The following is a 24801-nucleotide window of genomic DNA, read 5'->3' on the forward strand; positions in this document are numbered from 1 at the left end:
TGCAGTGGCGCGATCTCGGCTCACTGCAACCTCTGCCTCCCGGGTTTTACGCCATTCTCCTTCCTCAGCCTCCTGAGTAGCTGGGACTACAGGCATGCACCACCTATGCCTGGCTAATTTTTTTTGTATTTTTAGTAGAGATGGGGTTTCACTGTGTTAGCCAGGATGGTCTCGAACTCCTGACCTTGTGATCCGCCCGCCTCGGCCTCCCAAAGTGCTGGGATTACAGGTGTGAGCCACCACGCCCAGCCAAAAGTTTATTTTAAGAGTAGAGTTTTTTTGTTTTTTTTCTTTTAACTTTGTTCTTTTTTTCTTTTTCTTTTTCTTCAACTTTACACTGAGGTTGGATCAGGCCAATAGAAAGTGGTAATAAGAAGTGGAGTAATGAGTAATGAGAACAATTCCCATGGTTTCAAATTTTTTCTTCCAAGCCCATTTGAAACTTCCCAGGGACTCTCTGTCTCTCTCACATTGACTGACACACACACACACACACACACGCACACACACACGCATGCAACAACAGCCACCCAGGTCAGTCCAGCAGCCTGTTCCTGACTGAATCACGGGACAGCCAGAGCTACTAGAGGTACATCACTCTGACCAATGGCACCTGCCCGAATGCTCATTACCTCGTCAGCAGAGATGGCACCCAGAACAAAAGCAGGACAATGAAAAAAGAGGAAGCTGGGGACATTTCCATATCTGCTTCTCAAGCTCAAGGGCATCTTTATCTCCTATGTTCAGAGCTACCATGTGCTTGGCTGGCCCTTCTCCTGGCCCTCAAGGATCAATATTCAATGCCTATTGGGTCAGAAAGGCTTGAAGGGGACTCACAGTCCTCTTCCCAATTCTCCTTCCCAATTCCCCTAAGCTCATAGGATCTATAATCTGCCTCTGCCTCTTTCTGGCCATGTGGTCTTGGACAAGTCTTGTTTCCTGAGTGTGTTTTCTCATCTATAAAAGCTGGGGGTTGGTAGCAACACTAGAGGGTCATCACAGCTTTAGCAGTCTAAGCCATGACCTCAGTGTTTACAGAACTGGAAATCAAAACTTCTTTGCCTCCAGGTGGGAGGATGCACCTCTCTTGTGATTACAACTACTTATTTTTAAGAAAGCTCTCACATAAAGGAAGCATTAAATTCCTTTTTTAGCAAACATTTACAGTGTATGTGCATGCAAGTGTGTGCAGGTACACGTGTGCATGCACACATACATTTTTAGGACTCAGATATATATATATATATATCTGTTTTAGATAAACATATATATACACATATAAAATATATATGTTTATATAAATATATAAAAACATATATAGATACATTTGTCACCCAGGCTGGAGCGCAGTGGCATAATCTTGGCTTACTGCAGCCTCAACCTCCTGGGGGGGTCAAGTGATCTTCCCACCTCAGCCTCTTGCAATAGCTAGGTCTACAGGTATGTGACATCACACCCAGCTAATTTTTAAATAGTTTGTAGAGACAGTATTCTCACTGTGTTACCCAGGCTAGTCTTGAACAACTTGGCTCAAGTGATCCTCCCATCTCAGCCTTCCAAAATGTTGGGATTATAGATGTGAGCCACTGTGCCCAGCCAGTTTTATATTTAAAATATATACACTTTGAAAGTTCTTAAGGTTTTGTCTTCTTCATTTTTATGTGAAATTTCTCAACCTCCTCCATAGCCGACATTTACATTGCACTTTTCACTGGCCAGGCAGGTCCTGTCTAAAGTGCTTTCCGTGTTAAGTCAGTAATGCTCACAACAGCCCTATAGGGAAGGCATCTTCCAAAATGCACTCTGACGGAAAGTTCGATAGACAACCATGATGGACAGAGATGCCCTGAGGCTGTTTTGTCTCCAATGTCTCCATTTTGTACTTCCCCTCTGGGAAAGGGAGGTAGGGAGGGGAGCCAGGGCTCTGCATTCTTGCAGCCCGCTGTCTCCCACACTGCCACCTGCATCTGCCCTGGGGCTGTCTCCTCAAAGTAGCAGCAGGCTGTCACATCCTCTTCCCATGTAATTGCAGAAGTAGCTTCCTCTGACTCAATTTGTCCTCTGGGTACAAATAATTCGGTTACAAAGGTTGAGACCAGGGCTCAGGTGATTGCAAACAGAAAACTGAGCCTCATGGGCCATACTAGAAAAAACACGCAGAGTTCACTGCTGAGATCAGATGCAGAGGCTGGAAGAGAATAAGCAATAAAAGTGCCGTTTAAAGTCTTCATTTACTTCCCTAACAATGGCTCTTTCCACTCCTTTTCGTTATAAGCTTATTAAATATTTTATCTGTTTCCACTGCCTTGAATCCTTTTCATCTCGTCTATTCCATCTTCCAAACTTTCTACAGGAAAGAAATGTGTCTTTGTTGTTTTTCTTAGAATGAATAAATCCTTCCCATCTAGGTGACTCTTTCTCATTGCTGCTAGAACCATTGTTTAAGTGCCTAGGTCTTTGTGACCAGCATTAGGAGAATTCTAGAGCCAAGACTGCTGTCATCTGCAGCCTTCTGGCACTTGCAGGTAGAATTAAATGTGTGTGTGTGTGCACTTGTGCACATGGTTGTATCAATTTCTTAACACAATTACACTTATTACAGAGAGCAGAAAACACTTTCTGCGGGAGGCTTTGTTCAAACTCCTGTCCCATTTTCTTTTTTTTTTTTTTTCGAGACGGAGTCTCGCTCTGTCACCCAGGCTGGAGGGCAGCGGTGCAATCTCAGCTCACTGCAAGCTCCGCCTCCCGGGTTCACGCCACTCTCCTGCCTCAGCCTCCTGAGTAGCTGGGACTACAGGCGCCCACCACCACACCTGGCTAATTTTTTGTATTTTTAGTAGAGATGGGGTTTCACCGTGTTAGCCAGGATGGTCTCAATCTCCTGACCTCATGTTCCGCCCACCTTGGCCTCCCAAAGTGCTGGGATTACAGGTGTGAGCCACCGTGCCCGGCCACTCCTGTCCCATTTTCTTAAGAAGACTTCTCTCTGTTGTACAAACACCACTATACCAATTATTTTATGGCATATGTTTATTTGCATGTCTGTCTCCCCTCTAGCTAGAGTTTTTAGTACCAGGGACAATTTCCAAGATACATCTTTGAATTCCTAGGCCCTAGCATAGTTCTTGGCACCTAGAAGGTACTCAGTAATTGCCTTTTGCATGAATGAATGAATGAACAAATGAACAAATGAATGTCTATTCTTCACATAATCCTGGGAAGTCATATCCACTTCAGTAAAACTGAACAGATTCTACTCTTTCAGCTGACACTAATGTGCCCAATCCCTGGTTGCCCAGATATAGGGAGCTTTATTTTTCATCTCAGAACATGGTTTTTGTGCAGTGTCTTTATTTTTCATCTTGGTTGTCAGTGAGTTTGTTTTTAACATAGTGCTTATTCTGCTGATGGATGAAGTTATCAGCTGCCTGCATACAGTTTTAGAGATGGCACAAAGCTATGCTTTTGCCAAAATATGCCCCACTTCCCACTGTGAGCCTGCCTGGATACCATAATACCTCTCAACCAAGCTGGGAATGACATCATAAGAATTGCCACCATAAGAGTTCCAGAGGGCCATTGCTGTAGTATTTGGATGGTAAGGTCAGAGGTCATCTGCATGAAAGAGTCACCCCTGCTAAGCATAGATTAAATGGACAGATTGGTTTGTAGACCCTTGGTAAACAGAGAATCACTGTGGACAAAAGGTGAGCCCAAATAGCCTTGTGTAGGGAGTAACAGCCACAGGGACAGGGCCCCTATCTTGGAGGTGACCCTGACCCCGGAGCATTTGGTCAGGTCATGGGATGCCAAGCATGCCTTGCAAAGCAGTCTTCTGTGCCTAAGGCTCCTTCCTTGCAGAAACAGAGTTTTGCCATGTCCTTATTCCTCACTGCTCATAACCTCCACCTGAAACAATCTTTGCTGAATTGATTTTAAAGACATCAAAGTCTCGTTGTTCCTTCTCCCATTTGTAATGAATGAGGTTTCTTTATTCTGTGTGTTATCGAGGAAAGCTTCTGGCTTTGTGTCCCCAAGGTGAGGCAAATCTCACCAAAACAATATTCAGTGAAGGTCTGGTCCAAGTTCATTAGAAGTAGAATGTGAGGTTGCCAAAAGCAAGCCCTCTTGTTTACTCTCAGTGTTCTGTCTTTTATCCCTTTCCCATCCCCCTTTTTTCATTTCCACATTTGCTCAGATTTTTCATATTTGTTTCCCAGGTTTCCTTTATTTGCCTCTAGAGTTTGAAATCAAATCTGCCTTCTGCACAAGAAGCACGCAGCTCCCTCGCCCTCTGATGCATGCAGCAAATCGCATTACGATCACTGTAAAAAGGGTCTGCAGGCTTCTCGGAATAGTGCACAGAATCTTCCTGTGTTAGAAAAAAATATTTCAATTGAAAGCAAGTGCTGCACCTAAAGATCAAAATGATTTCACATCACAAAAAGCAGCCTTCCTCTCTTCAGACACAAGTTACAGATTATTAGCTGTTCCCTTGTAAAATGCCCAACTCAGGGCCTTCCTCTGCATTCAAGGGCAGCCTCATATGGGCCCAGTTCCTTCATGTTTTGATCCTATTTCCCCTCATGAGGATACCCTCCACATTTAGCAAGGCCCCTTCACAACAGATAGACATGTTGTATTCACTGCACCAGGCACACGAGACACACCCTATATTTGTAATGAATTGACACACTTATTTCTCAAAATGCCCTATAAGGTCAATGTCATTCACATTTTACAGATGAGGAAACTAAGGCATTCATAGCCCCCTTCCCCTAAAGTCTTGCAGATAGCTAGGGGCAGGACCAGTTCTTAAGAGCAAACTTTGCAACCCCAGCATCAGTATTTGTTCTTTCCACGGCTCCGTACCTGAGGGTTGATATCCCGGATTTTCCCTAAGATAATGACTGTTTCCTTTCGTTGGGATACTATCTCCTTAGCAGCAGATAACACAAACAGAAAATAAGATGTCAGGTCCGTTTTGACACAGGAACACCGAACCTCCAAGCCTCCATCAGGTGCCTACAAAGGGCCAGGTATTGTTCCAGGCCCTGGGATTCAGCAGAGAGAAAGACAAATTCTCTCCCACAATGGAGCTTCCGTTCTAGGAAGCAAGTAAGGAATCAACCTCTTTTTTTTATGGATCTAGTAGATGATAAGGTTTCTAATGTTAGGACTAAAGAGCATACCTATAATAACTGTATTTATTTAATATATACTGACTTACAAAGCAATTTCCACAGTGCTCTGTGCTGTTATAAGCACTTCACAGATAAAGAAGTCATTGAATTATTCTACCAGACAGATGCTGTGACCTTCATCTTAAAAATGAGAAAACTGAGGGATAGACAGATGAAGTAACTTTGTTCAAATGGCACAGCTCTAAGGGGCAGGGCCAGGTGTCCAATACAGGCAGTCTGGTTCTAGAAGCCATTCTCTAACCACTTTGCCATGTTGCCTGCAGAAACTTGAGGTCAACAAGAGAGCGTTCTGCACAGCATGGCCTCAGAGTGGCATCACTGCCAATCATCATGGTTACTGCCATCAGAGTTTGACTGTCTAGGGCACTCTGTGTCATCTGATGTGATGGGATGCTGCAGCCATGAGTGACATTGCACTGGCTGACAGAGTTGCCCATACCTGTGGGCAACAGTGCCTCTTACTTGCTCAGCGTCAGGTGCTACACCAAAAACTCTCAATGGAAACTCCAATTTAATACTGACATCCCTACCCTGTGAAGTAGACCAGTGTTATCCTTATTTAAAAGATGGGGAAACCTCGACTTAGGAAGCTGGAGCAAAGACTTCCAGATGCCGTCTCATGCCCCCACCCAACACACACACCCAGATATATTTCCTTTCTTCTTCTCTAGAAATGTTGCAAGGGATGCTTTGCAACATTCATAACCACGTAAATTCTAGCTGATGGCATGACCGACAGTGTGACTTCCTTTTCCTCATCTTTTCCTCTACCTGTGGCTGAAATGCAAACATGGTGGCCCATGACTTTGAACATGCAGATGAAGTCAGGGTTGACAGAAGAACAAGATGAAAGGAGGCTGTTCTCTCATGCTGTCAAGCCTCCATACCAGCCCTGGACTCCTCATCTAGACTTTTATTCAAGGGATAATTGTAACATCCACCTTGTATGAGCCACTGTATTTGGGAACTCTGGTCCCAGCAGTCTAGCCTGTGTTTCCACAGCTGTGCCCAAGGTCACTCAGCTGTGAGCAGCAGAGCTAGGATTTAGACCCAGGCCATCTCATATTTGACTTAGAAACCTCTCTGTCCCTTATAGTTACATCACACTGGACAGTCAGTTGCAATGACAGAGTCACGGTCACAGTCACACATGAGTCACATCTTTGAGGCCAGAAGCACACTAATTGCATGTTGTATCCTTCCTTTCTAGCTCAATTATGCTTCCACCTTCCAGCCTTGCCTGTCTTGTGTCCTGCTTGTACTATCATGCTATGCCAGGAAAGGAGCAGTCCTCTAAACCAAGCTGCATCTAGGTAAAGTCACTAGCATCTGTGAAGACGTGGAAGCCTCTAGAAGGCTTGATTTCATACATTACCACCACAACAAAACCTTTCATCAAGAACCTGAAATGTCACAAACTTTTGATGAGACATTTTACACACATCTTTATGGAATTTGCAGGATTTGATTTTGAGATTGAAAATTACTTCTCAGTTACATGAAAGCAATACAAAATACAAATACAATCATGTGCCACATAAGGACATTTCAGTCAACGACAGATTACATATACATTCGTGGTCCCATAAGATTACAATGGAGCTGAAATATTCCTACACCTAATGACATCAGAGATCTCATGATGTCATAGCAAAATTTGTTAATGAATTTAGTGTAACCTAAGTGTACAGTGTTTATCAAGTCCACAGAAGTGTACAGTAATGTCCTAGGCCTTCACACTCACCACTCACTCATTGATTCACCCAGAGCAACTTCCAATCCTGCAAGCTCCTTTCAAGATAAGTGCCAAATAGGTGTACTATTTGTGTTGGTTTTTCCTTTTTTACCTTTTACACTGTATTTTTACTGTACCCTTTTGATGTTTAGATATGTTAGATACCCAAATGCTTACTATTGTGTTACAATTGCCTACAGTATTCAGTATAGTAACATTGTATGTTGTGTAGCCTAGGAGCAATTAGACCATATAGCCCACGTGTGTAGTAGGCTACCCCAACTAGGTTTATGTAAGTACACTCCATGGTGTTCCCATAATGATGAAATCACCTAACCATGCATTTCTCAGAAGGTATCCTCATTGATAAGTGATGCATGACTGTAACAAAATGCATATAGCCTCTGCAAAATATGATTCAAATATTAACTTAAAAATTGAAAGAGAACAGGCTGGGTGCAGTGGCTCATGCCTGTAATCCCAGCACTATGGGAGGCCGAGGCGGGTGGATCACGAGGTCAGGAGATCAAGACCGTCCTGGCTAATGCAGTGAAACCCTGTCTCTACTAAAAATACGAAAAATTAGCCAAGCATGGTGGCAGGTGCCTGTAATCCCAGCTACTCGGGAGGCTGAGGCAGGAGAATGGTGTGAACCCAGGAGGCGGAGCCTGCAGTGAGCCGAGATTGTGCCACTGCACTCCAGCCTGGGCGACAGAGTGAGACTCCATCTCAAAAAAAAAAATTGAAAGAGAACGAAGACTAATAAATGAATGAAATGCTTGTGATATGACATGAAGGGAAAAAAGGGACACTGTAGCAATGCCATGGATAATCCAATAGAACTAAATTCATATGGAGAGTGATAATGTAGTTTCAGCCAAACATTGTCCAACATATTATATACAAACTAAAAAAAATTCAAATTAAGACTAATTCTTTAATGTGTAAATGTGATGGGGTTTATAGTTGTCCAGGAGCTATTAAAGGGTTTGTACAAACGATTATGTTTTCATATATTTAAGTAACTTTATAATTAAAATAATTAAGTCAGACTCAGAAGTCACCAAGTTTGAGAAGCCTAATATTTCAGGTAAGTACAGCAACTATGAACAACTCTCAGGAAAGGTTTAAGCCCTTTCTCACTCTTGCCTCACAATTGTCTATATCATATGTCCTTACCTTGGCCTTGGAACTCAATATCCTACCCTCTAAGATATTAGTTAGATATACATCTGCCTCATTGTTAAATGGAAATGTTAAAGTCACTGCTATTGGACTATTCTCCCAGATTTTCTCATTCCAAGTAATTTGCCATAGAATCAACATCTTGTATCTTTTTCAGTTAGGTATAAAATTGTTTCCTCTGACTATTAACATGAGGGACGTAAAAGAAATTAACCGATGACTCTAAAACATCAATTTACCACATTAAAACAATCTTCCTACCAGAAAGCAAGTCACTGCCATTAGTTTGGGACTCATTTTTGCTGGCATTCAATTACTCGGCTCCAATGGATTAGGCCAATTAAACTGATTCAAGGTCACAATCCTACCGATCCTACAAATGTAAGGTAATCAAATTTAAGTCACAAATCTGTTTTCCTGGCCTGGCATGAATAAGAAGTAAGGTGAGCAGGCACTAAAAATGATACAGAAGTGGCTAGAATCTCAGAGGAATTTGCAAGAGACCCCTTGGGAAAATTTCTCCCCTAAGTGTACATAAGGCAATCCCTCAAGCTATGCCAATGACAGTGAAAACTTCCTAGATTTTCTTCACCTAACAGAAACGGCCACCCTTCCCCTCCCTTTCCCCAACCCCCTAAACCTAGCATCTCTTCACCAGTCCCAACAGGATTCTATGCAGTTCACATTTACCATCCTCCCCAAACCCCTATTTTTCTTATCCTCCACTGAGCTGTTCATCCCATGCAGGATGGACTTGGTGTGATCCACCACTGTATACCAGCACAGAAGGTGGTCATTAAATGTTGGCTGAGTTAAAAATGCTCATTTAACTTTCTAAGACCCACTGCCGAAAGCGCCATCTCCTGAAAGAATAGAGAACTGTCTCCACGTCTGTCTGCGTGAGACCAAGGAAGGCAGAATCCCTCCTGCCCAATGTATAGGTTGGACTTTCCATGAGAGACTGCTTTAATGACGTTTAATTTGATAGCGTTATGTTTCAACTATATTAGGCACTAGATACTTTTTGTGGGCTGTATCTAGAACATAACCTCCCTTTACAACATTCATTCTATGGAGAAATATGTTCAGAAAGATGATCGGGTATATATGTTAGTTTCCTGGGGCTGCCATAACAAAATGCCACAAACTGGGTAGCTTAGAAAAACAGAAACTTATTCACTCACCATTCTGGAGGCCAAAATTCTGAAACTGAGGTGTCAGCATGGCCACACTCCATCGAAGGTGCTAGAAGAGAATCTTTTCTTGCCTTTTCCAACTTTTGATGGGTCCAGGCATTCCTTGGCTTGTGGAAGCTTAATGCCAACCTCTGCCTCCGTCCTCACATGATCTTCTTCCCTCTGTGTCCAAGTCTCTTATGAAGATAAGAGTCACTGAATCTAGAGCCTGTCCTCATCCAGTATGACCTCATCTTGATTTGATTATGCCTGCAAAAACCCTTTTCCAAATAGAGTCACATTCACAAGTACAGGAGTTTAGGACTTGAACATATTTGGGGGATGGGGAGGACACAGATGAATCCACTATAATATAATAGTATCAAAATCCTATCTTAGCTACAATGTGTATTAAATTAATGATAGCCTGGGAACCTAATCAGTGCTCATAACACTGAAATTTGGAACACCACATTTTAACATTAATATAAGATTACTGACTTTTAAAATACAACATGTCCAGGCCAGGTGTGGTGGCTCACACCTGTAATCCCAACACTTTGGGAGGCTGAGGCGGCAGATCACTTGAGGCCAGGAGGAGTTTGAGACCAGCCTGGCCAACATGCTGAAACTCTGTCTCTACTGAAAATACAAAAAATGAGCCAGGCATGGTGGTGGGCACCTGTAGTCCCAGCTACTTGGGAGGCTGAGGCAGGAGAATCATTCAAACCTAGGAGGCAGAGGTTGCAGCGAGCCAAGATCACACCATTGCACACCTGCCTGGGTGACACAGTAAGATACCATCTTGAAAATAAATAAATGAATAAACAATAAAATACAACATGTCTACATTCATCTACATATAGAGAAAAAATACGACATGTCAAATAATTAAGGATACATAGGAGAATATTCAACAGAACATAATTTCTAATATTAAAAAATTAGGAAAAACACAAATACCCAGCAATATAGGGCTAGTTATGTTATAGTTATGTAAGAAAATACTATGCAACCAAGAAAATTATGGGGCAAAATGTATTTGACATGAAAATATAGTCATGACTTACTGCCATAAAAACCATACATATATACATATATAACTATATAGAGATTTTAAAACATACATAGATAAAAGTAAATCTATAGCTATATAATCTCTATATAGCTATAAATATGTGTGTCTATGTGTGTGTATACATATGTATTTATGGCCTTTACTACATTTCAAGTACAGACCAAACACAATTTGCAAGCAGATTTCAATATATTTTCTGTAAAGTTTTATATACGGAATAGTTTGTTGTTGTAAAACCAATACATGTTCATTTCAAAGACATAAGCAAAAACATACAAGCAAAATATTAAAATTTTGAATATCCATGTTTTTAACTACCCAGAGCAAACAGCTGTAAGCACTATAGCATATATATGCACGGAAAATGAAAAAATGGCCTTGAAAAAGATACCCCAAACTAGGACACACCAGTTTATCTACTGGCACAGAAAGCCACTGAATTAGCCATAGAGTCACCCACAGAGTCAATTGTCCTCAAGTACCTAGGAGTGGGGAACATTAAGTAATTTAGCTGAAAGTATGATGTGTGTATTGAAAGAAATGTAGGTTTATAATAAGATATGGAACTCATTCTTAAGGGAATAAACTCATTCAATAAGAATAAAAAGTTTAAGAATCACACTCTAATATCTTAATGTGGGTAGAAGAATTATGAGTATCTTATATTTTCTTCTTTCGGCTTCTTTGTGTTTGCTGATTTTTTTTTTTTTATGAAATGAGTCAGTACTGCACTTACAGAGAAAATACCAAAATAGTAACTCTACCAAAAACATAAAATGTATTACTTTTCCCCGCCACTACCACCTGTTTACAGATTGAGACTAGCTCATGAGAAGAACAGTTATCAGCCAAGGATTCGTGGTCAACCTAAACCTCATCCTTACTCGGAAAAGCTGTCCCCAGGCAGGATTTCTGGTACCTATGAGTCTCTCTACACTAGGGATCTGGAAGGGCTGGGATGGCCTCTGAGGCTCACTCATCTGCCTAAATACCACCAGCTTTGGCCTCTAGAATCCCATCAGACTGTGGCAGAAAATACAATAAAAATGGGACTGTTCACCACATGTAACATAACTGTAACTGTATTTTGGCTCAGAGCAATTGGTCAAGCCCCTAAGAAGGGAACATTTTATTGAATGTGTGCTGTATGCTCCATTACTTTCTATTTAATTTTCTCAACAACCCTAGGTGCACTGATCCCATTGTTCAGATGGGAAAATTGAAGCTCAAAGAGGTTAGGAAACGTGCTCATAGTCACACAGTTAAGATGTGACAGGGACAAGATTCACAAGAAGTTATGTCTGACTTCAGAGCTGTAGCCCCTCTGCTGCATCTAGAGACTTGTTCCAAAAATGAGTATTTCTCCACCTGCCTCTTCTTGCTCATACGTTCTCTCCCTCTTTCCTATTCATTCTAAAAAGCAGCTTGCTCTTGCCTTTTTCCTAAGATGTTCTTTGCTATCATCTTTTAGTCAAGTGTAGTTGTTAGCAAAGACTTCCTACATCAATAAAGTGATGAGGCAACTTCTAACCCTTGGCTTTCTGATTTCCAGTGAATGCTCCTTTTCTATTTAAGACAGGACAGGAGGGGAGGAGCCAAGATGGCCAAATAGGAACAGCTCCCGTCTACAGCTCTCAGCGTGAGCGACGCAGAAGACGGGTGATTTCTGCATTTCCATCTGAGGTACCGGGTTCGTCTCATTAGGGAGTGCCAGACAGTGGGCGCAGGTCAGTGGGTGCGCGCACCGTGCGCGAGCCGAAGCAGAGCAAGGCATTGCCTCACTTGGGAAGCGCAAGGGGTCAGGGAGTTCCCTTTCTGAGTCAAAGAAAGGGGTGACGGACGGCACCTGGAAAATCGGGTCACTCCCACCTGAATACTGCGCTTTTCGGACGGGCTTAAAAAACGGCGCACCACAAGATTATATCCCGCACCTGGCTCGGAGGGTCCTACGCCCACGGAGTCTCGCTGATTGCTAGCACAGCAGTCTGAGATCAAACTGCTAGGCGGCAGCGAGGCTGGGGGAGGGGCGCCCGCCATTGCCCAGGCTTGATTAGGTAAAGAAAGCAGCCGGGAAGCTTGAACTGGGTAGAGCCCACCACAGCTCAAGGAGGCCTGCCTGCCTCTGTAGGCTCCACCTCTGGGGGCAGGGCACAGACAAACAAAAAGACAGCTGTAACCTCTGCAGACTTAAATGTCCCTGTCTGACAGCTTTGAAGAGAGCTGTGGTTCTCCCAGCACGCAGCTGGAGATCTGAGAACGGGCAGACTGCCTCCTCAAGTGGGTCCCTGACCCCTGATCCCAGAAAAGCCTAACTGGGAGGCACCCCCCAGCAGGGGCACACTGACACCTCACACGGCAGGGTATTCCAACAGACCTGCAGCTGAGGGTCCTCTCTGTTAGAAGGAAAACTAACAAACAGAAAGGACATCCACACCAAGAACCCATCTGCACATCACCATCATCAAAGACCAAAAGTAGATAAAACCACAAAGACGGGGAAAAAACAGAAAAGAAAAACTGGAAACTCTAAAAAGCAGAGCACCTCTCCTCCTCCAAAGGAACGCAGTTCCTCACCAGCAACGGAACAAAGCTGGATGGAGAATGACTTTGACGAGCTGAGAGAAGAAGACTTCAGACGATCAAATTACTCTGAGCTACGGGAGGACATTCAAACCAAAGGCAAAGAAGTTGAAAACTTTGAAAAAAATTTAGAAGAATGTATAACTAGAATAACCAACACAGAGAAGTGCTTAAAGGAGCTGATGGAGCTGAAAACCAAGGCTCGAGAACTACGTGAAGAATGCAGAAGCCTCAGGAGCTGATGCGATCAACTGGAAGAAAGGGTATCAGCGATGGAAGATGAAATGAATGAAATGAAGCGAGAAGGGAAGTTTAGAGAAAAAAGAATAAAAAGAAATGAGCAAAGCCTCCAAGAAATATGGGACTATGTGAAAAGACCAAATCTACGTCTGATTGGTGTACCTGAAAGTGATGGGGAGAATGGAACCAAGTTGGAAAACACTCTGCAGGATATTATCCAGGAGAACTTCCCCAATCTAGCAAGGCAGGCCAATGTTCAGATTCAGGAAATACAGAGAACGCCACAAAGATACTCCTCAAGAAGAGCAACTCCAAGACACATAATTGTCAGATTCACCAAAGTTGAAATGAAGGAAAAAATGTTAAGGGCAGCCAGAGAGAAAGGTCGGGTTACCCTCAAAGGGAAGCCCATCAGACTAACAACGGATCTCTCTGCAGAAACTCTACAAGCCAGAAGAGACTGGGGGCCAATATTCAACATTCTTAAAAGAATTTTCAACCCAGAATGGCATATCCAGCCAAACTAAGCTTCATAAGTGAAGGAGAAATAAAATACTTTACAGACAAGCAAATGCTGAGAGATTTTGTCACCACCAGGCCTGCCTTACAAGAGCTCCTGAAGGAAGCACTAAACATGGAAAGGAACAACTGGTACCAGCCGCTGCAAAATCATGCCAAAATGTAAAGACCATCGAGACTAGGAAGAAACTGCATCAACTAACAAGCAAAATAACCAGCTAACATCATAATGACAGGATCAAATTCACATATAACAATATTATCTTTAAATGTAAATGGACTAAATGCTCCAATTAAAAGACACAGACTGGCAAATTGGATAAAGAGTCAAGACCCATCAGTGTGCTGTATTCAGGAAACCCATCTCATGTGCAGAGACACACATAGGCTCAAAATAAAAGGATGGAGGAAGATCTACCAAGCAAATGGAAAACCAAAAAAGGCAGGGGTTGCAATCCTAGTCTCTGATAAAACAGACTTTAAACCAACAAAGATCAAAAGAGACAAAGAAGGCCATTACTTAATGGTAAAGGGATCAATTCAACAAGAAGAGCTAACTATCCTAAATATGTATGCACCCAATACAGGAGCACCAAGATTCATAAAGCAAGTCCTTAGTGACCTACAAAGAGACTTAGACTCCCACACATTAATAATGGGAGACTTTAACACCCCACTGTCAACATTAGACAGATCAATGAGACAGAAAGTCAACAAGGATACCCAGGAATTTAACTCAGCTCTGCACCAAGCAGACCTAATAGACATCTACAGAACTCTCCACCCCAAATCAACAGAATATACATTTTTTTCAGCACCACACCACACATATTCCAAAATTGACCACATACTGGGAAGTAAAGCTCTCCTCAGCAAATGTAAAAGAACAGAAATTATAACAAACTATCTCTCAGACCACAGTGCAATCAAACTAGAACTCAGGATTAAGAATCTCACTCAAAACCACTCGACTACATGGAAACTGAACAACCTGCTCCTGAATGACTACTGGGTACATAACGAAATGAAGGCAGAAATAAAGATGTTCTTTGAAACCAATGAGAACAAAGACACAACATACCAGAATCTCTGGGACACATTCAAAGCAGTGTGTAGAGGGAAATTTATAGCACTAAATGCCCACACGAGAAAGCAGGAAAGATCCAAAATTGACACCCTAACATCACAATTAAAAGAACTAGAAAAGGAAGAGCAAACACATTCAAAAGCTAGCAGAAGGCAAGAAATAACTAAAATCAGAGCAGAACTGAAGGAAATAGAGAAACAAAAAACCTTTCAAAAAATTAATGAATCCAGGAGCTGGTTTTTTGAAAGGATCAACAAAATTGATAGTCCGCTAGCAAGACTAATAAAGAAAAAAAGAGAGAAAAATCAAATAGACACAATAAAAAATGATAAAGGGGATATAACTACCAATCCCACAGAAATACAAACTTCCATCAGAGAATACTACAAACACCTCTACGCAAATAAACTAGAAAATCTAGAAGAAATAGATAAATTCCTGGACACATACACTCTCCCAAGACTAAACCAGGAAGAAGTTGAATCTCTGAACAGACCAATAACAGTAGCTGAAATTTTGGCAATAATCAATAGCTTACCAACCAAAAAGAGTCCAGGACCAGATGGATTCACAGCTGAATTCTACCAGAGGTACAAGGAGGAACTGGTACCATTCCTTCTGAAACTATTCCAATCAATAGAAAAAGAGGGAATCCTCCCTAACTCTTTTTATGAGGCCAGCATCATTCTGATACCAAAGCCAGTTAGAGATACAACAAAAAAAGAGAATTTTAGACCAATATCCTTGATGAACATTGATGCAAAAATCCTCAATAAAATACTGGCAAACTGAATCCAGCAGCACATCAAAAAGCTTATCCACCATGATCAAGTGGGCTTCATCCCTAGGATGCAAGGCTGGTTCAATATACGCAAATCAATAAATGTAATCCAGCATATAAACAGAGCCAAAGACAAAAACCACATGATTATCTCAATAGATGCAGAAAAAGCCTTTGACAAAATTCAACAACCCTCATGCTAAAAACTCTCAATAAATTAGGCATTGATGGGATGTATTTCAAAATAATAAGAGCTATCTATGACAAACCCACAGCCAATATCATACCAAATGGGCAAAAACTGGAAGCATTCCCTTTGAAAACTGGCACAAGACAGGGATGCCCTCTCTCACCACTCCTATTCAACATAGTGTTGGAAGTTCTGGCCAGGGCAATTAGGCAGGAGAAGGAAATACAGGGTATTCAATTAGGAAAAGAGGAAGTCAAATTGTCCCTGTTTGCAGACGACATGATTGTATATCTAGAAAACCCCATTGTCTCAGCCCAAAATCTCCTTAAGCTGATAAGCAACTTCAGCAAAGTCTCAGGATACAAAATCAATGTACAAAAATCACAAGCATTCTTACACACCAACAACAGACAAACAGAGAGCCAAATCATGAGTGAACTCCCATTCACAATTGCTTCAAAGAGAATAAAATACCTAGGAATCCAACTTACAAGGGATGTGAAGGACCTCTTCAAGGAGAACTACAAACCACTGCTCAAGGAAATAAAAGAGGATACAAACAAATGGAAGAACATTCCATGCTCATGGGTAGGAAGAATCAATATCGTGAAAATGGCCATACTGCCCAAGGTAATTTACAGATTCAATGCCATCCCCATCAAGCTACCAATGACTTTCTTCACAGAATTGGAAAAAACTACTTTAAAGTTCATATGGAACCAAAAAAGAGCCCGCATCGCCAAGTCAATCCTAAGCCAAAAGAACAAAGCTGGAGGCATCACACTACCTGACTTCAAACTATACTACAAGGCTACAGTAACCAAAACAGCATGGTACTGGTACCAAAACAGAGATATAGATCAATGGAACAGAACAGAGCCCTCAGAAATAACGCCGCATATCTACAACTATCTGATCTTTGACAAACCTGAGAAAAACAAGCAATGGGGAAAGGATTCCCTATTTAATAAATGGTGCTGGGAAAACTGGCTAGCCATATGTAGAAAGCTGAAACTGGATCCCTTCCTTACACCTTATACAAAAATCAATTCAAGATGGATTAAAGACTTAAACGTTAGACCTAAAACCATAAAAACCCTAGAAGAAAACCTAGGCATTACCATTCAGGACATAGGCATGGGCAAGGACTTCATGTCTAAAACACAAAAAGCAATGGCAACAAAAGCCAAAATTGACAAATGGGATCTAATTAAACTAAAGAGCTTCTGCACAGCAAAAGAAACTACCATCAGAGTGAACAGGCAACCTACAAAATGGGAGAAAATTTTCGCAACCTACTCATCTGACAAAGGGCTAATATCCAGAATCTACAATGAACTCAAACAAATTTACAAGAAAAAAACAAACAACCCCATCAAAAAGTGGGCAAAGGACATGAACAGACACTTCTCAAAAGCAGACATTTATGCAGCCAAAAAACACATGAAAAAATGCTCATCATCACTGGCCATCAGAGAAATGCAAATCAAAACCACAATGAGATACCATCTCACACCAGTTAGAATGGCAATCATTATAAAGTCAGGAAACAACAGGTGCTGGAGAGGACGTGGAAAAATAGGAACAATTTTACACTGTTGGTGGGACTGTAAACTAGTTCAACCATTGTGGAAGTCAGTGTGGCGATTCCTCAGGGATCTAGAACTGGAAATACCATTTGACCCAGCCATCCCATTACTGGGTATATACCCAAAGGACTATAAATCATGCTGCTATAAAGACACATGCACATGTATGTTTATTGCGGCATTATTCACAATAGCAAAGACTTGGAACCAAGCCAAATGTCCAACAATGATAGACTGGATTAAGAAAATGTGGCACATATACACCATGGAATACTATGCAGCCATAAAAAATGATGAGTTCATGTCCTTTGTAGGGACATGGATGAAATTGGAAATCATCATTCCCAGTAAACTATCGCAAGAACAAAAAACCAAACACCGCATATTCTCACTCATAGGTGGGAATTGAACAATGAGATCTCATGGACACAGGAAGGGGAATATCACACTCTGGGGACTGCTGTGGGGTGGGGGGAGGGGGGAGGGATAGCATTGGGAGATATACCTAATGTTAGATGACAATTTATTGGGTGCAGCGCACCAGCATGGCACATGTATACATATGTAACTAACCTGCACAATGTGCACATGTACCCTAAAACTTAAAGTATAATAAAAAAATAAATTTAAAAAATAAAAATAAATAAATAAATAAATAAATAAAAGACAGGACAAAAATAACAGACACTAATCTGCAAGGCATAGCCTTAAGGCCTCAGTAGTTCAGCCCAGGTAATCATTTCCCACCTTGGAGGCTTTTCTGCACAACAATGACAAATTAACTTGCTTTTTAATTTTCAAATCCCTTTTTATTTCATTTCATTATTTTTCCCTTGCCTCCTTCTGTTTCCAGAACGGGGTTCCCACCCATTTAATCACTTTTAAGAAATGTTCATTTTTTTAAATCTGCCCCATAACTGTCCACTGAAGATAGCAACCAATAATTGCACTCTTTAGTCACATGAAATTTGCTGTTTAAAATAAGCTTCTAATCGGACAGGGTCCTCAAAACATTATGATTAATCTACAGACGATGTAATAGCCAAGACAGCAATGCTCACATTTCTAAATGCTGTTTCATTAATAGGATTCATATCTTGAGTCTGTGATATTCTCAGCTCTACTTTACAGGCTGAACAAATAAAATTCTAAATCATATTAAGGAAAGGAGCAGCTTTGAAAATTAGAGTCTGTTGGAAATAGGAGACTCTCTTCAGGCAGCCCCAAGACCCTGCTACCTGACATTTCACTTCCAAATGCGCTTCAGAAGGTACCAGTTTGTGATACGAGGAAAAGCCCACAGGATGTTTATTTTCTCTTACGGAAAAAAAAAAAATGAAACAAACCTCTTCTTTCTAACATGATGCGGTATGGGAATAACAGAAAAATCAATAACAAGCCTGAAAAATATATCTTGTTTAAACAGAAAGCAAGATTTTTGTTCCAGGTATTTCTTAAAAAATATATGTGTGTGTGTGTGTATATATATATTCAGAGATAAAAGAACAAACTTCAAAGGAGGAGAGTTGGAAAAGGAGGGATGGCCAGAAATCAGCCGATATTTCAAAGGTAGAGGAAAGGAATGCGAGAGTCAGGGCAAAGTGCCCATACTGATACAAGCCTCACCTCCAGAAATCACCTGTGGTACTCACATTGTCCCTTCCAGATATGCTAGGGGGCTAACAACTGCATGGGTGGTCCCGTATGCCTCTCTCTGGGAGTGTACTAGAGCCAAGATGTGCTGCAGCCACCTCACACTGGCTCCCAGGAGCCTATTGTTCAATTTCTGGAATTTTTGGAAATTGGCTGATATTCCATTGGTGGCTTGAAATCAGCCATGGTGGGAGTATCCACACTACAGAAAGTAGAAAATGCAACAAATCCAGAGTTCCCCTCCCCGCCGCCCCCAACCCCCGACAGAGCTGGTTGTTAAACTTTCACCAGCACACCACTGCTTCTTTCTCAGTTTTCCCGTGGGCTTCCTTTGGGAGGTGTCTAGGCTTGCAGAACATTGCCAAAGGACATTTACAAAAAAGAAAGAAGAAAAGCAGCTGCGTCTTCCAGAAACTTCCCACTAATGGAGATACAGGACTGTATCAACAAAGAGGGCCATATCTAAATGCTTTCTGGAAGGGTCTGGATAAAACAGACCCACCAGAAGACTACCCCCTGGAGCCAGACTTTTGAAAAGCTCGGCCCTGGGCGCACGCTCTACCCTGAAACACAGGGCGCTGGCTCTCAACACAGACAGCATGTCCCGAGGTCCTGAGGCCTCATCTTCACCCACAGGTAGATTTCTTTCAGTCCCTACACCCCAGAGACTGGGTTTTTCTGCCAAGTCCTGCTCTTCTCTGCATCCTCTACAAAGCAGGCCCTTGGCCTTTCCTGGCCACCCCATCTGCTGTCTCAGTCCCATCCATGACCCACCCAGAGGTGGAGCCCCAACCAAGGGAGCAGCAGGGACCAAATCCTTCTGTTCACCACTGTATACTCAATGCCTAGCACAGTGCTGGGGATACAGTAGATGCATGATAAATACATAGTGAATGAAGGAATGAATTCAATAGGCAAATCTCCACCAATCTACTTATTGCTAGCATCAGAGAATCTTGGTTAGGATAGGCAATTTAAGAAATTCAGGATAAGGCATCAAGAAATCTAGGTTCTAGACCAGCCTCAGCAATTAATTTGCTTATTTATATCCCCTAACTTTGTTGGAGTTTCATCTCTTCATCTAGGAAATCGTGCCTGGATTCTGGTACTTTTACACTGACTCTACCACTAAATAGCAGACATCTTGGCAAACAGTTTAACCTTTCTTAGTCTCAATTTTTCTATCTTTTAATGAAGATAACACAATTCTATGTCCTTTTAAACTCTTATTGTGGGAATCAAAATATATGTGAAGTGCTTTTGACATAAAATGGGGGCTCCATAAATTATTCGTAGCTTCCCCTTCTCTTGTCCAGGCTGAACAGCTCATGAGTCCACTAGACCCAGTCTGGTATCTGTCTATATACAGGAACAGGAAAGGTGCTGGTTTCCAAATGTTTCCCTGGAGGCTGACTTAGGACAGGTGAACATGGGAAACTATTTTTTAATTTCACTTAAAATAAAGTTGCACCAGTGAAAGAAACACAAGAAACTTCCTCTAAACTTAAAGAGTAATTGAACTTGGGGTCAAATTCTAGATTCCCAACTGACAGGCTCTTCTATCAGTTAGGATGCCTTAAGCTACAAATAAAAGAGAGCCCAGATAACCATTGCTCAAACAATAAATGGATGTGTTAGCTCCCATAACAGATGTCTAGTGGGAGGCCACTACAGAGTTGGCTAGTTTAGCAGATAAGACCAGCATCAAGATCCCTGGTCTCGTTCTATAGCATGTTTCTTTTGGAGATAATTTCACTCCTGGTCCCAAGATGGCTGGTGCAGTGTCATGTATCCTTTGTGGATATAACATCCAGCACACAAAAAACGCTCCGTCTCGAAAAAAAAAAATGCTGCTCCTTTTGCATGTATCTCTTTTAAATAGCAAAGAAACTTCCCCAAAAGTCTCCTGGCAGAATTCCCCTTATGTCACGATAACCAAAACTGAGTCCCGATGTCCACCCTTAAATGAATAATTGTCAAGAAAACGGGACCATTATAGGCTTAGACCAATTCGAAGTTGTCTAATTTAGGAGTGGGTGGGACAAAACTGGAGCTCTGCCAGCATGGCAAAAAAGAGCCATGGGTGTTGAATAGGCAACCTGTACCATCTGGTGAACCCTCCCCACTCTGACAACCTTCCCCAACACATGCACACATGCACACACACACACAGCTGCAGCAAGAAAGAGCCAAATGATGTGATAGACTAACCTAAAACTCTTTGTTACTAACAAAAGTGAAGGGGAATGTAGCATTTGTTGAGACAAGTTTTTACACTCATTTCATAGATGAAGAAACTGAGTCACACATTAGCCAGTGAATGGCAGAACTGGATTGGAATCCAGATTTGGTTGACTCCAAATATTACAATCTTTCCACCATGCCAAACTACCTTATGAATGAGCAACCAGAAGCGATGAACATATTTGCTTTGCACTAATGCTCTAGAAAGGGCAAATGCTCAGCTCCTAGACTCACTTGCCCTAGGCTCACTCTGAATCCCAGTAATAAAATGAGTCATCTTTAAGGTACAGGATAAAGAGCTTTGAGAGCCACATCCTGCTTTTGCACTTTCTTCTCTGGTTGCTATTTCAGAGTTTTCTTTTAACCACACCGTTTTTAATATATTCTCTGTCTTGCTAATGATAGGAAACTTGCTGCTGCATGGTTCCATAAAACATTATCTCATTATCTCCTTTGCCTCTCACTGTAAAGTACTTTGTAGCATTGAAAGTGGCATATGAAAAAAATTAATTTCATTAAATTAATGGAGAGTATCATGACTGCTCAGTTACGGCTCAGATGCATTTGTAGAGGGACTGTGTATGCATCAGAGCTTGTCCTTTATTTTGCCATTTTTCCTCCCACATGCACCCACCAATGTCCCTAGGAAGGAAGAAATAATTCTAAATGGCATGCTTTCAAGAAATATTGTTACCACTAACAACCTGGAAAATCCCAAATACAAAGCATGACTTTATATGGCCAATGAGAAAATTGCAGGGGCAATCCAGTTATCTTCACCATCTTCCTAAGAGATACAAAAGTTACAGCTGAATACATCATGCTATAATTCACAGCAATCCATAAGATTGATCATGTCTCTCCAAGTGCACAGTGTTTCAGTTTATACAACAAAATATTTTATTTAAAAAAAAATTTGTAGAAATGGGATCTCGTTATGTTGCCCAGACTGGTCTTGAACTCCTAGCCTCAGCAAAGTCTCTTGCCTTGGCCTCCCAAAGAGCTGGAGAAAAAACAGTCTGGTCCCTCCAATCCTGGAGCACACTGTATCTGTACCACAGGTTACCCACCCAACTCGGGGGAAACTGAGGCTCAGCAAATTTAAAAAATTACCTCCCTCCAAAAAAAAAAAACTAGAATATCTTCTGAGAAATAAGCTTCTGCTCAGTGAGCTTAACATAGTCTAAGACAGGGGCCCCAACACCCTGGGCCACAGACTGAGCTAGGAACCAGTCTACACAGCAGAAGGCTAGTGGCAGGTGAGTGAGCGAAGCTTCATCTGTATTTACAGCCACTCCCCATCACTCGCATTACCACCTGAGCTCCACCTCCTGTCAGATCAGCAACAGCATTAGATTCTCATAGGAGCATGAACCCTATTGTGAACTGCACATGTGAGGAATATAGGTTGTGTGCTCCTTATGAGACTCTAATGCCTGATGATCTGTCATTGTCTCCCATCAGCCCCAGATGGGACCGTCTAGTTGCAGGAAAATAAGCTCAGGGCTCCCACTGATTCTACATTATGATGAGTTATATAATTATTTCATCATTTTACTATATATTACAATATAATAATAATAGAAATAAAGTGCATAGTAAATGTAATGCACTTGAATCATCCTGAAACCATACCCCTTCCCTGCCCTGGTCCACAGAAAAATGATCTTCCGTGAAACCGGTCGCTGGGGGCCATTGGTCTAGGACTTGTAACATCTACCTTGTTTTAGCTTCTATAAATGAAAGCAAGACTCCCACATTAAGTAATGCTGGTACCCCCATGAGGCCATCCTACATATCTGCACTCTATTGTGGAACTCCTCCAGATGACCTCCCACTGGCTCATTCAGTTACTTCTTGGTCTCAACTGTCCCAGATCCTTTAATTCTCTGCTTTGGCTTTACAGCTCCACTCCAACTCAGGTCAAAGATTCACTGGTATGCATTAGACATTGTGCCTAGTGCTGTCTACATACAATGTCTAGTTCTCACAACAACTTATAAAACAGATGATGCAGTCTCAATTTTACAGAAGAAGAGACTGAGGCTCAGCAAATTAAGGAACTTATTCCCACGTCGGCTCACTCATAGGTGGCAGAACAAGGATTTGAACCCATGTCTGTGCTTCCGGCATTCCATTATTCCACTTAACTTTACTTCTTCACATGCAAAATGAGAAAAGTAATCCCCACTCTAACTGTCTCATAAGGTTGTTATGATTATCAAATGAGATTGTTGAATGTAAGGAATGCTGATAACTCATCTCTCCTATCGTCTGGGTTCTACCTGGTAGAGATCAATATCTAAAGCTAAATGGAGATCAATGGATAGCTTTGCAAATCATCACCTGATAACTGGGGTCCCCTAGTAAAGAGGTGCTGCAGAATGTTGCTTGGACTGAAGGCCAAAATGGAACCTTCTTAATGAAGTTCCTCTCCAAATCTAGACTCAGTATCTGCCTTTAGTAGAGTCACCTCTGCCAGTACACCCTGAGTGCATGTTGACGGTCAGATCAGCCTGCCTCTAAAACCCAGACCTCCACAGAATGAGGAACCAAGAAAATCAGAGATGGGCCTTTGTTCCATTTTCAATGCAGTAACTACACACATGAGGGAAAACGTGCTTCAGTGGAAATTAAGTTATCTACAATCAACTGGATACTCACTTTCCCTCCAGGAAAACTAGTAAGAAATGGAGAAAACATCTCCTCCAGTATTTTCCCATCGTTTGGAGGGAAGAGGAACTGCCCTCCCACCACCCTGTCCTGCAATAGAATCATGAGGAGGGAAAAAAATCATACTTCCCCACAATAAAGATTTTATCACAAAAGATGGAAAGTTCGGTACAAATAAAAGTTGTCAGTTTCATACCACTTTTTCATTACCGTTTCTATTGCACTCTACACTTTTATATTATATTGTCAGATAATTAGTTATTTTTGTATCTGACTCTTCTATCAGACTGAATTCCTTCATGAAAATCATTTTTAAATTTATCCTTAAATATCCATATCTGATAACATGTCTACTGCATAGTAGGCATGAAATAAATATTTGTTCAATTAATAAATAGATTTAATTAGTGTATAAACACCAAGTCTCTATAGAACAGAAACTCTTACAATTACAAAGCATAGACATATTTATGCATCATTTTGCATTGTTTATCTTCGCTATTTACCTGTCTACTAACAGAGTGAACTAGATCCATAACTGTTTCCTTAAATCAACTTATAATTCCCCATCAATGCAATAGGTTCATGTTTCACAAAATTAGACCTATAAATTTCCTACTCATTTAATTATGCCCCTCTTCAAAAAAAGAATTTAAGACAGCATACCATATAGGAAAATAAAATTTTTTTAGAATAAGTAAGAAAAATGAGGCAAAGCCACACATAAATTTTTACCTTTCTTATAATGTTCCTTTAGGAGTGCTCATCTGTCTACCTTAGTGCCACAAGATGGTATGGTGAACAACTTTTCAAGAACAACATTTTACAATTTACTCATAAACAACCCAATAACTTTCCAAAATAAACC

The 24801-nt window shown here is 41.4% G+C and overlaps 1 long non-coding RNA gene across 1 annotated transcript in view, besides 1 other annotated feature; it reads right to left on the minus strand.

Annotated features, from left to right (window-relative positions):
* LOC107984268 (uncharacterized) overlaps positions 1 to 9821 on the minus strand; it is a 31907-nt gene extending 22086 nt beyond the window's left edge. Inside the window, exon 1 of the long non-coding RNA XR_001747587.2 lies at positions 9309 to 9821. This is a non-coding gene — a long non-coding RNA (uncharacterized LOC107984268). The remainder of the gene's footprint in view (positions 1 to 9308) is intronic.
* Positions 11765 to 12314: an enhancer, noted in NCBI's record as "NANOG-H3K27ac-H3K4me1 hESC enhancer chr10:113821951-113822500 (GRCh37/hg19 assembly coordinates)". NCBI's record gives its function as "activates a minimal SCP1, AML or CMV promoter by ChIP-STARR-seq in naive H9 embryonic stem cells {active_cell/tissue: H9 hESC(naive)}" and the evidence as "EXISTENCE:reporter gene assay evidence [ECO:0000049][PMID:30033119]".

The sequence above is a fragment of the Homo sapiens genome, chromosome 10 (genome assembly GCF_000001405.40).
Source record: "Homo sapiens chromosome 10, GRCh38.p14 Primary Assembly".
NCBI lineage: Eukaryota > Metazoa > Chordata > Mammalia > Primates > Hominidae > Homo > Homo sapiens.